The following is a 12,539-nucleotide window of genomic DNA, read 5'->3' as shown; positions in this document are numbered from 1 at the left end:
ATTTTGGGTTTTTATCCAACTTGCCATTCTGTGTTTTTTTAATTGGGACATTTAGCTCATTTACGTTTAGGGTTAGCACTGTTATGTGTGGATATGATCCTGTCATCATGATGCTAGCTGGTCATCATGATGCTAGCTGGTTATTTTGCAGACTTGCTCATGTGGTTACTTCGTAGTTTCACTGGTCTGTGTACTTCAGTGTGTTTTTGTAGTGGATGGTAATGGTTTTTCCTTTTTTTTCCGAGACTGAGTCTTGCTCTGTTGCCCAGGCTGGAGTGCAGTGGTGTGATCTCGGCTCACTGTAAGCTCCACCTCTCGGGATTAAGCCATTCTCCTGCCTCAACCTCTCGAGTAGCTTGTACTATAGGTGCCTGCCACCGTGCCCGCCTAATTTTTTGTATTTTTAGTAGAGACGGGGTTTCACTGTGTTAGCCAGGATGGTTTCGATCTGCTGACCTCATGATCTGCCCGCCTTGGCCTCCCAATGTGCTGGGATTACAGGCGTGAGCCACTGCGCCCAGCCGGTTTTTCCTTTCTGTATTTAGTGCTTCTTTCAGGATCTCTTGTAAGGTAGGTCTGGTGGTAACAAATTCCCTCAGCATTTGCTTGTCTGAAATGGATCTTATTTCTCCTATGCTTATGAAGCTTAGTTTGGCTGGATACAAAATTCTGACTTGGAATTTTTTTTTTCTTAAGAACGTTGAATATTGGCCCTCAATCTCTTCTGGCTTGTAGGGTTTCCACGAGAAGTCCACTGTTAACCTGACGGGCTTCACTTTGTAGGCAAACTGGCCTTTCTCTTGGACTGCCCTTATTTTTTCTTTCTTTTTGACCTTGAAGAATCTGATGATTATGTGTCTTGGATATGACCTTCTTGTGGAGTATCTCACTGGGTTCTCTGGATTTCCTGAATTTGAATGTTGGCCTGTCTAGCTAGGTTGGGGAAGTTTTCCTGCATAATACCCTGAAATATATTTTCTAAATTAGTTCCATTCTCCCTGTCTCTTTCTGGTACCCCAATCAGTCGTAGCTTCGGTATCTTTACATAATCCCATATTTCTTGTAGGTTTTCTTTTTCATTTTTTTTTCTATATTCTTGTCTGCCTGTCTTATTTCAGAAAGACAGTCTTTAAGCTCTGAGATTCTTTCCTCTGCTTGGTCTATTCTGCTATTAATAGTAGTGATTGCACTGTGAAGATCTCGTAGTGTGTTTTTTAGCTCTATCAGGTTGGTTATGTTCCTGTCTATACTGGCTATTTTGGCTGTCAGCTCCTGTATTGTTTTATCACGATTCTTAGCTCCCTTGCCTGAGGTAACAATGTGCTCTTTTAGCTCAGCAAAGTTCATTTTTATCCACGTTCTGAAGACTACCTCTGTCATCGCAGCCATCTCAGCTTCAGCACAGTTCTATGTCCTTGCTGGAGAGGTGTTGCGGTCATTTGGAGGAAAGGGGGCATGCTAGCGTTTTGAGTTTTCAGTGTTTTTGTGCGATTATTTCTCATATTTCTGGGCTAATCTACCTTCAGTCTTTGAGGTTGCTTACCTTTGGATGGGGTTCTTGTGTTTTTGTTGTTGTTTGTTTGTTTTTTCTTTTGATACTCTGGCCACTCTTTAGTATGGCTGCTGCAGTTTGCTGGGTGTCCGCTGCAGACCCTAGTCACCTCAGTTTTTCTAATACCTGTAGGAATCAGCAGTGTAGCCTACAAAACAGCAAAGATGGCAGCCTGCCTCTTCCTCTAGAAGGTCTGTCTCAGGGGATGCTGACCTGTTGTTGGCCCTAAGGCACCTGTAGGAGGAGGCTGGAGACCCCAATTGGGAGATCTCACCCATCAGAAAGAACTGGATCACAGACCTCTTTAAAGAAGCATTCTGGCTGCATTTTGGTAGAGCAGCTGTCCGGTATTGGGGATCCCTTCAGCCCCTGATCGGTTTGGGCACTCCAAGGCTCGCAGGCTAGACTGGCTGAGATGCCCAAACAGCAAAGGTGGTGGCACTCTGTCCCAGGGAGAAATTAAAACTCTGATGGCCCTAAGATACAGGCAGGGGTGGCCAGGTGCCTCAGGTGGGAGGACCCGCCCAGTGAGAAGAAATGGATCAGGGTCCCACTTAAAGAAGCAGCCTGGCCACAACTTGACAAAAGAGCTGTGCCATATTGGGGAACCACCTCTGCCTGGGTTGGCTTGGACTCCCCAGATCCTGCAGGCTAGAGCAGCTGAGTGAGTTATCTAAACAACAAAGGTGGCAGCTTGCCCCTCCCACTAGGCACTTCATCCCAGGGAGAAATCAGAACTCTGTTCGTAGAATACAGGTAGGGGTGGCTGGAGGCCCCAGCCAGGAGGACCTGCTCTAAGCGGAGGACTGGATCAGGGTCCCATTTAAAGAGGCAGTCTGGCCACACCTCGATAAAAAAAAAATCACGCTGTACTGGGAAACTGCCTCTGTCCCTGTTGGCTTGGACTGTCCAAAGCCTGCAGGCTGCAACAGCTGAGTTGTCCAGACAAGAAAGCTGGTGGCCAGTCCCTGGAACCCAGCACTCTGTCCCAAGGCAAGATCAGAGCTCTGGTGGGTGGGGGCACCTGGAGGCCCCAGCTGGGAGGTCCTGCCCAGTTAGGAGGAATGGATAGGGGTCCTGCTTAAAGAAGCAGTCTGGCCACTTTCTGGCAAAGTAGCTGGGGAGACCCATCTTTGTCTGGACCATTTGGACTCTCCAAAGCCTGGAGGCTGGAACGCCTGATTTGACCAAACAGCAAAGACGGTGGCCCACCCTTTCCCCCAGGGGCTTTGTCCCTTCTCAGGCAGGCTCCACCCTGTTGCTGGTGGCTTGCTGGAATTCCAAGCCAGTGGGTCTTGCCTTGTGAGCTGCTGTGGAGGTGGGACCTGCAGACAGATGCTGCTTGGCTCTCTGGATTCAACCCCCTTCCTAGGGGTATGTGCAGACCTCCTGCCCTGCCTGAGTTGCAGTTACTTTTGTTAGGAATCCTGGGACTGGAGTACGTAAAGCTCTTGGGTCTCTATTGTGCGCCAGTAGCTGCTCTTTGGGAGAGCTGTGTGGAGTCACCCAAGGCCCAGGTGCAGTGGGCTCATGAGGGCATCTCCTGACCCAAAGGTTGCAAAGATCCATGGGAGAAGCATGGTTTTCCCAGGGTTGCACATTGACTCACTGCTTACCTTGGCTGGGGGTGGGGGTTCTCTTGGCTCTGTGTGGCTCCTGGGGAGTCATTGCCCACCCTGCATTTCTTGGTTCTCTGTGAGTCAGGTTGTTTCCCTGATCAGTTCCAATGCAAGTATCTGGATATTTCAGTGAAAGGTGCTGTGTTGACTCCTTTTTATTCCTTTGGAAGAGTGTCACACACTGCAGCTGCTTCTAATTAACCATCTTGGCCCCATCTCTGGATCTTATTTTAGATCTTGTGTTACAGCAAGTTTTTCTGACACTCCTCTGGTAGGAGGATGATATCCTGTTATTGCCAGGTGGGGGTAGAAGTCTAGGTCTTTATTGACACAGGGGAGGAGGAACTTTTTGTTATTGCTGAATGGGTATGGTAGTTCAAGCTTCTCATTAGGTCATTGCTGATTTCACCCTAGCTTGGAGGAAGAGAGGCATCTCATCACTACTCACTACAAATCATCCATTGCACACAAAGGGTGGTGAGGAGGAATGCAGTTTTGTTACCACGAATTGCTGATTAAAGTCCTAACTCTTCACCCTGCCTCCTCTGACACCACCCCAGCAAGGAGGGGTGGGGGTGCCCTGTTTCCATTAGGTGGGTTTAGAAGTCCAGGTTTTCCGATGGCCTCCACCTTAACTGACGTGCCTTCTCTCCCTTTCCAGAGTTGTTTTAGAATGTCCAGAGTTTTCATTTGTACTTAATAGGAGGAATTGCGAAAAGCACATTTACTCTATTTTTGTAGAAGCTGGATTCTGAGAATTTTCAAATTCATTTTTGAATAGACAGTACATTTACATGATATAAAATCCAGCAAAATATACAAGCTATATAGCAACATGTCATTCATTTTTTCTTGTTCATCTTCTGCCCTGTTTCTACCATGTCCCTCACCCCTAGTTTCTTTCTTTCTTTCTTTCTTTTTTTTTTTTTTGAGACAGAGTGTCACTCTGTCACCCAGGCAGGAGTGCAGTGGTATGATCTTGGCTCACTGCAACCTCTGCCTCCCAGGTTCACGCCATTCTCCTGCCTCAGCCTCCCGAGTAGCTGGGACTACAGGCGCCCGCCACCACGCCCGGCTAATTTTTTTTTGTATTTTTAGTAGAGACAGGGTTTCACCATGTTAGCAGGATGGTCTCCATCTCCTGACCTAGTGATCTGCCCGCCTCGGCCTCACAAAGTGCTGGGATTACAGGCTTGAGCCACCATGCCTGGCCCCCTTTTTTTTTTTAATCCCTTCTGAGTTATTTTATACATATATAAGAAAATGATGAACACAGATAATGTTTTACAAATGGTGTCATAATATACACACTGTACTGATCTCCCTTTCTCTATTTGCTATATATTTAGAGACCTTACTATGTCAAGGACATAAAGAGCTTTCTTGGTTTTTGTTTTTTCAAAATAGCTCTATAGGTTTTCGCTGTATGAATAGAAGACAGCATTTTAATGGTATTTTATAAGTTGTGTTGCTGAATTGTAAATTTCCTCAGAAGTACTAGTATCTTTTTACAATATATAGTCTATCAATGGTTACCCTCACTTAAACTGTAAGATGTTTGGGGAAACTTGGATCCAGCTTGCGTGTTTTTCCTTCTCAGATGGTTTACATGTAATATGTTTATTCTGAAGATAAAGAACATTTGTCATATTCTTTTTGTGTATTGTTTTCCAGATGATCTCAGGAATTCCACAATTCTGACATTTTATGAGAAAAAGAAACATGCCAAGTCTAATTATAGGAGTTAGAGATGTGTTGTGTGTTTTTAATTGCAAGAAATAGCTACGCAATACACTTTTGGATGGTCTCTTTCCACTTGCAAAAGAATGCTTGTAAACATAGGCTTTTTCTAGACTCCTGCCTTAATAATCCTGTTCTCTCTTCCCTGTTCCAAGGGCATGTCTCATGAAACCTGCAGTCAAATGCTATGATTTGTCTAAGCTTTCTGGCAAAAAATATTTTATGAGATTTGCCAGCCTGCATAAATTAATCCAACCTAACCAGCTGATGATAACAGATTGGAAACTTTTGGTTCAAACACAGAAAAAGTAGTTCACTTGCCACAGATGGAAAGCCTGCAAAGAAAGAAAGTCAAAGATGTTTCGAGTTTTTTTAGAAGACAAGAAAAAGCTGTTTGTATCTTCCTTGACATCATTATTGAATAGAGACTTTCTTGAGATTTCTGCATGTGAAACCAGCTACCTGGTACAAGAAAGGGAGGAATCAAGATTGTAATCTTTCCTTCTATTTCTATATGTGATCATAAGGAATTTATGGTATAACTGGAAGTAGTTGAATTAGAGAATACGGACTTGGTTTATTTTAATGCTATGATATTGTTAGGTAAAGTGGTTAGTAGAGAGTATGACACAAAGTAGGCTTTTAGTAAACAGTAGTAAATAACTAATATCAAGGAAATCAACCAAGCTGCTCTGAAAGTCTCATCTTCCTAAATCTTGATTGGCTCAATTGATCTGTCAAGACGCTTGTAGCTGACACATATCCTTTTTTCACTTTTGTTGTTGTTGTTAATGAAATCAATAGTTTGCTCAGAGAAGGTGCTCATATCCCCAACTCAGGAATAAATCCTAGTTAGCCTAAGTCAGTTTGCTACTCTCATTCCCCTTGCTAGTGTTTGTTTTAGGAATTGGTAGGTGATACAGTTTTGGCCAGTGAGATATATAAAAAAGGAGCATTGTTGGCTTTTTATTTTCAAAAGATGTTTTCACATAAAAGAAACCCTGAGGAAGAAACAGGCTTTTCCTTTCCTGAAAATGTGGTAGCTAACTTGACTGGGCTTGACTGAGGACAGGGCCAATTTTCTGAGGATGGCAAAATGGAAAATGGGAAGAACTTAAGTTATTGATGATAATATGAAGCCCAGAAATTACTAACTCTAGAGCCTTGGTATATATCGTTTATGTGACATAATAAATTCTCTGTATTGTTTAAGTTGTTGTGATTTGGGTTTTCTTTCATTTGCAGACAAAAGTTTCTGATACAATATGTTAACATGCTAGGTTTGAAAAAAAATTGAAAGCACCAATAATTTATTGACAAACATCCATATATTCAAACATACTTTGGATACGTATATTTGAAAAAAATGGCAGTTAGAGACTATATTTAATTTTCATTTGATAAGTCCCCCAGGCTGAGTAGAAATATAAATTTGTAACTAGTGTAGAATAATTCAATCAATATAATGTTTTAATTTTAGAAATCATTCACAGATTTTAGGCTGGGTGCGGTGGCTCATGCCTGTAATCCCAGCACTTTGGAAGGCCAAGGCGGGTGGATCACTTGAGCTCAGGAGTTCGAGACCAGCCTGAACAACATAGTGAAACCCCGTCTCTACCAAAAAATACAAAAATTAGCCAGGCATGGTGGCGTGTGCCTGTAATAATCCCAGCTACTCGGGAGCTGAGACACGAGTATCGCATGAACCTGGGAGGCGGAGGTTGCAGTGAGCTGAGATCATGCCACTGCACCCCAGCTTTGAAGAATGCAAGGTATACCACTAGATTATTTTGCATCTTCGAGATATTTATGAATTACCGTGCACCTTTACAAACAAGAAAAACTTTCAAGGAGAGCTGGAAGAGTTGAAGGAAAGAACTCTGTTCATCAAGCAGAGGCAGCTTCCATAAAATTTTAGGGCCAAGTTTATGAATTCATGGACAAAACTGGAATTTATGACTGTGTGATAAAATTCTGAGATATGTTTGGGCTAATTTGCTCTGGAAAAGCATATAGGTACTTTTTGGCATGACGGGGTTATAAACCCAGCATAAGTTGAAAATATCATTAAATTGAAAATACATTTAATATGTCTAACCTATCAAACATGACAGCTTAGTTTGGGCTACTTTAAACATACTTAGAACACTTTCAATATGGTATTCAATAAATTATATGAGATAGGCAACACTTTGTTATAAAATGGGCTTCATGTTAGATAATTTAGTGCAGCCTAATGAAATCATATTGCATATCACTAGCCCAGGAAAAGATAAAAAAAGGAAAATTTGAAGTTTGATTTCTACTGAATGATTATGGCTTTCAGACCATTGTAATTTGTTGAAAAATGGTAAGCCAAACTCATTGTAAGTTGAAGAGCATCTTTATTCTTTGAATTTACAGAACTTAAAGCTGAGAGTTTATTTCTACTGATGTAAATCTATAGTCAGAATTTAATTCTGACCCATGAACACTTGCATAGTTCTTCAGAAGAATTTAGTTCAGTCTGTTAAATATCACCATTCTTATTGATTAATCACAAGTGACCAGTAATTAGCACTAGGCCTGTAAGTGTGGCAACAATTCTTTCTTGATTGGACAAGTTGTCCCAGTTGGAATTTTAACATATTACTTTTATGTTAATATGCCTTTTCATCAGCCTTGAAAAATTTACTTCTATTGTAATTGAATTACGATTTTCTCCTAAAGGCGATTATTTTGAAAAGCTAAAATTGAGGACGCATCAGCCGAATCCAAGATATAGAATTGGGCAGGCAATAGACATTTGCATGGAGGGCCAGAGACAGGAAATAATGCCTCTTAGTCATGATATTATTTGTTTTAAAATGCAATAAACTTACAAGCATGTTATTGGTATTGGAAAGAGAACTTTGTAAAATTTCTTGCTAACAATAGGATGATAAACATTAATTTTGCTATTTTTATTGTTAGTAATTATGTCTAAAACATCAATATTTTATTCAATATATTGTCTGTATTAATTTATTTGAATAAATAATATCATATTTGCATGTTTATAAGTCACAAAATGAGTTTTGATTTCAGTTTCTTTAACTCTGTTTTTTCATCAGTTTTTGTCTTCTTAAAAATTGAGGTTTTCAGAAATCTGAGTTTTCTAATTTGGAAGTTTCTGCTCTATCTGAACATTTTTGGGGGTAAGTTTTTGTAATAGTGCCAAAAATTTATGTTTTTGAATAGTTTTAAGCAAGAAAAATATCCATGGAGTATGTACGTATACATACGTTCCACACTGAAAAACCTGGATTCCTCCTCTGTCTTTTTGCCTTCAGAGATCTCACCACATCCGAGACTTTGCATATTATCTCTTAGCAAATGCCATCTAAATACCTATCTCTGACATTTTTACCTGAATGATTTTTTTTCTATTGCCGAAGCCACCCCTGTATAGCCAAAACCACCCTTTCTAGAGCTGAAAACCACCCCCTCTCATATTTCTCTTTGTGTCAGTATCCTTCTCATGGTGATTCAGGTTTGAAACTTCAAAACCGTTTTTGAATTTATTTTCTCCTTTCCCTCCAGTGTATATAATCTGCTGCCAAAACACATTTTCTGCTTCAGGTGGTACTAGAAGACAATCAGATGCTAAGCATTTGTTAGCCCCCTCCATATGCTCATTACCATGCTAGCTACCGGTGGGGACACAGAAGAAACTTTACATTTGATGCAAGAAAAGCACAGAAGATCATGCCTAGGTGGTCTCTCCAATTTCCTTGTCTGTCAAAATAAAAAGTACCAACACTAGCTTGTTCAGCAAGTAGTTAACGTATACATACATATGATGTTATTTCTATTCAGTAGGGCCTATGAAGTAGATGCCTAATTTGTAGAAGAAAACTAGTGCCAGAATCTCAGCAGTTTGAAATGGGCATAAAGGATAATAACAAGACATCACAGATCCAGGTAACTCATACAGGATGATCCATTACTACTTGAAATATGTACTAATTTTATGGTAAAGTCTAAATCTTAGATCAGGTCTTCTTTGCTCTCCTGAAAAGATAATCATAGATATGGGTATGAGTACTATCTCTCTCCTTCCCTGCCTGAAAGAGCTTGGATTGGGTAGATGGAACAGCTTAATTTTTACACCTCGTACCAATTACAGGCCATGATTTCAAAATGATCACTCACCAAATCTCCTTTCTAAAATTTTTTTAGAAACAGGGTCTCACTCTGTTACTCAGGCTAGTGTGCAGTGGTCTGATCATAGCTCACTGCAGTCTCAAACTCCTGGCTTAAGTAATCCTCCTGCTTACACTCTTGAGTAGTTAGGACTACTGGCAAAAGCCACCATGCCCAGCTAATAATTTAAATTTTTTGTGTGTGAGAAGATGGAATCTCACTGTGTTGCCCAGGCTAGTTTTGATCTCCTAGCTTCAAATGATCTTCCCGCCAATGCTTTGCAAAGTGCTGGGATTGCAAAATCTCTTTTAAAATTAAGTTTTGGGGCCAGGCACGGTGGCTCACATTTGTAATCCCAGCACTTTGGGAGGCTGAGATGAGATCAGGAGTTCGAGTCCAGCTTGGTCAAAATGGTAAACCCCATCTCTACTAAAATTACAAAAGAAAAATAAAAAAGCTGGGCATGGTGGCGCATGCCTGTAATCCCAGCTACTTGGGAGGTTGAGGCAGGAGAATTGCTTGAACCGAGGAGGTGGAAGTTGCAGTGAGCCCAGATCACACCACTGCATTCCAGCCTGGGCAACAGAGTGAGACTACATCTCAAAAAATATTAATTTTTCTCATGCTTACAAATTACTGATGCCACTGACTGCCAGAACTTGGGGGGTGTAGGATATGATGATTCCTAGAATTACAATATCCTGTGAGATCCATGAAAGTACACAGTACAGCCATCTCCCCTTTGAGGCTCTGGGATCATGGGGTGGTGGTTTGACAGAACAACTTGAACTCACTCTTACAGACAAGTATGAATCACCCAGTGGAAAGAAATTGTAGAGAGAAATTCAGATAGAGAAAATAGAATGTGTAAAGTCTTGGAGATATGAGAGAGTATGGTCCTTTCAGATAACTATAAATTCAGACATGGAGCACAGTATATGAAGTGTTGGAAGGAGAATATAAATTAGACTGAACTGAACTAGGTGTCATGGACCAGAACACAAAGTTCCTGTTTTGCCATCCTTAAGAGTTCCTGAGGTCTATGGGAAATATAGAATTTCTAAAGGATTTAATGGAGGGATATGACATGATCCTATATATATTTTCCAAAGAATATTGCAGCAGTCTTTAAGATAATGGATTATCAGAGGTGAAGACAAGAAGCTGAAGTGCAGTTAGGAGGCTGTTACAATAATGTAAGCAAAAAAATGAGTATTAAATAACTGTAGTGTTATCGAGAATGGAGGTTTTCAAAAAACAGGAAGCCCATTCATAGGATCAACAGATTTTGATGGTTCAAGGACTATAAGGAGTGAGAGATAGCAGGTTTCTGGCTTAGGCAACTGAGAAAATAGTGTCACAGCTCAGACTACAAATAACTGATCACGAGCCCTGCTCAATTCAGCCTGGTCAGATTTTCACAGGGGCAACCAAGGAAAATGATGATGTAAAGCCCCTGGATTTGGTGGCCACTAGAGAATTTCGAGAGTAATCTCAGTGAGAAATGTAGGCCAAATTAGAAGGACTTTAAGAAGCAAGAGTGAGGAATTGAAAAAATTAGGTTTAGACCAGTTTTATTTTTAGACTTTTGATAGAGGAAGGTGGAATATGATGGCTGATGGAAAAAATAACAAGGTAAAGGGAATTTGTAAATGTACTTTATATAATAAAATAAATACGATTTTATTTTAATAACATTAACATGATCATAAATTTTAAAAATTATAAATGAGACTTAGGATATTTGTAGACTAAGAGGAAGTAGAAAGGGAGAGATTGGGGACCAAAGAGGAATTAGAACAATTAAAGATACAGGCCCAGCAGAGCTAGGAAGGGATAAAGGTAATCATTAAAGTGGTAGGTTTAGACTTGGGAAAAATGACTATGAATGAACCCATTGCTCTAACACAAGAGGGAAGGAAAAGATCGTGTGAGAAGAATGAGAAGGATTTTATATGGAAAGGAGGGTATGGCTACACAAGGGTTCTGAGGTAGAGAGACAAGATATCAAAGCAGTTCATGTGAACAGTGTCCAACCCCCAGAAATAATGATTTTATGCTCATAGAAGTGGTTTGGATTAGCAGTTGAGGGTATATGATAAGGAATCAGTAATTGATGACTGACAGTATTTTTGCCCGCGATTGGGTGGATTGCTTGAGGTCAGGAGTTTGAGACCAGCCTGGCCAACATAGTGAAACCCTATCTCTACTAAAAATACAAAAAATTAGCCAAGTGTGGTGGTGGGCACCTGTAATCCTAGCTACTTGGGATGCTGAGGTGGGAGAATTGCCTGAACCTGGGAGGTGGAGGTTGCAATGAGCTGAGATCATGCTACTGCACTCCAGCCCAGGTGACAGAGCAAGACTCTGTCTTGGCGGGGAGTGGGGGAAGGAAAAAAAAGGTTCACTGGGGACCATTTATTATGAATTCTTGGATGATCTCTTAGCATAATTAAAACCTTTTTCAGGTTTCACTTACCTGTTAGAAACTCTCAAGAAAGACAAAGGGAAGACCAAGAGAGTGGTGTGACTATAGTCTCCTTACCTCCCATTTCTTAGGGTTTGTATCTACCCTACATGATGTCTGTGTTTCAACTCATTTATGTTTTCCAAGTTTATCAGCAGCTATGTCTCCGTGCTTACCAGTTGAGTGCATTTGTGAAACACACACACACACACACACACACACACAGCAGCAGCAGAGTGGTAGTAGGTGAGCCCAGATAGTGCCAGATAAGAAATCTTCTTCCACATTCCAGCCACACCAATGCCTTGCTGCTTCCTGAATGGAAAACGTTTGCTTTTTCCTGCCTCTGCACTTTTGCCTATGGCTGTACGAGAATTTTCTTCTTTTCACTATCTGAACATACAAGACTCAGCTCAAATGCTACCTCTTGGGAGGCTTCCCTTGTCACTTCCCCAAGAATAGATCTCTTTCACTTCTGAATGTCTCCAGTACTATCTATGCACAGCTTTTTATGGGCTTCATCATATTTTAAATTATTTTATTGCTTGTTTGTATGTCTACCATCCTTGTTTAAATTGTGTAATCCTTGGTGATAGGAACCATGTTTTAAATTTCTTTGTATCTTAAACTAGAGACCATCACGTAGCAAATGGTCAATAATACTTGACAAACAATATACAAAATAAACAATGGAGAACTTTATTTTGATAAACAATGATAAATTTGGTTTGTTTTGATAAACCAAATGATAAGTATCTTTACGAGGCAATGATAGGGTGAAAAAACCCATGGGCTTTGAAGTTAGCAGCAACCGTGAATTCAAATCCTAGCTTGTAATCAGATTACTAGATGTTTGATCTTCGACTAGCTAATTAACTTCTCTAAGCTCCCATTTCCTTAATTATATAATGGGAATAATTATAATTACTTTGCAGATTATAATTAGGAAGATTAGAAATAATATGAATTATTTAGAAAAAAGCTTGGCAGGTAATAA

General features: G+C 40.5%; 1 annotated feature.

The window, feature by feature from the left end:
* Positions 2,259–2,553: a silencer, noted in NCBI's record as "tiled region #9794; HepG2 Repressive non-DNase unmatched - State 24:Quies". NCBI's record gives its function as "represses a minimal TATA promoter and a strong SV40 promoter by Sharpr-MPRA in HepG2 cells {active_cell/tissue: HepG2}" and the evidence as "EXISTENCE:reporter gene assay evidence [ECO:0000049][PMID:27701403]".

The sequence above is a fragment of the Homo sapiens genome, chromosome 11 (genome assembly GCF_000001405.40).
Source record: "Homo sapiens chromosome 11, GRCh38.p14 Primary Assembly".
NCBI lineage: Eukaryota > Metazoa > Chordata > Mammalia > Primates > Hominidae > Homo > Homo sapiens.
The sequence above is the reverse complement of the archived record's forward strand: the minus strand, read 5'-3'. Positions and strand labels throughout refer to the sequence as shown.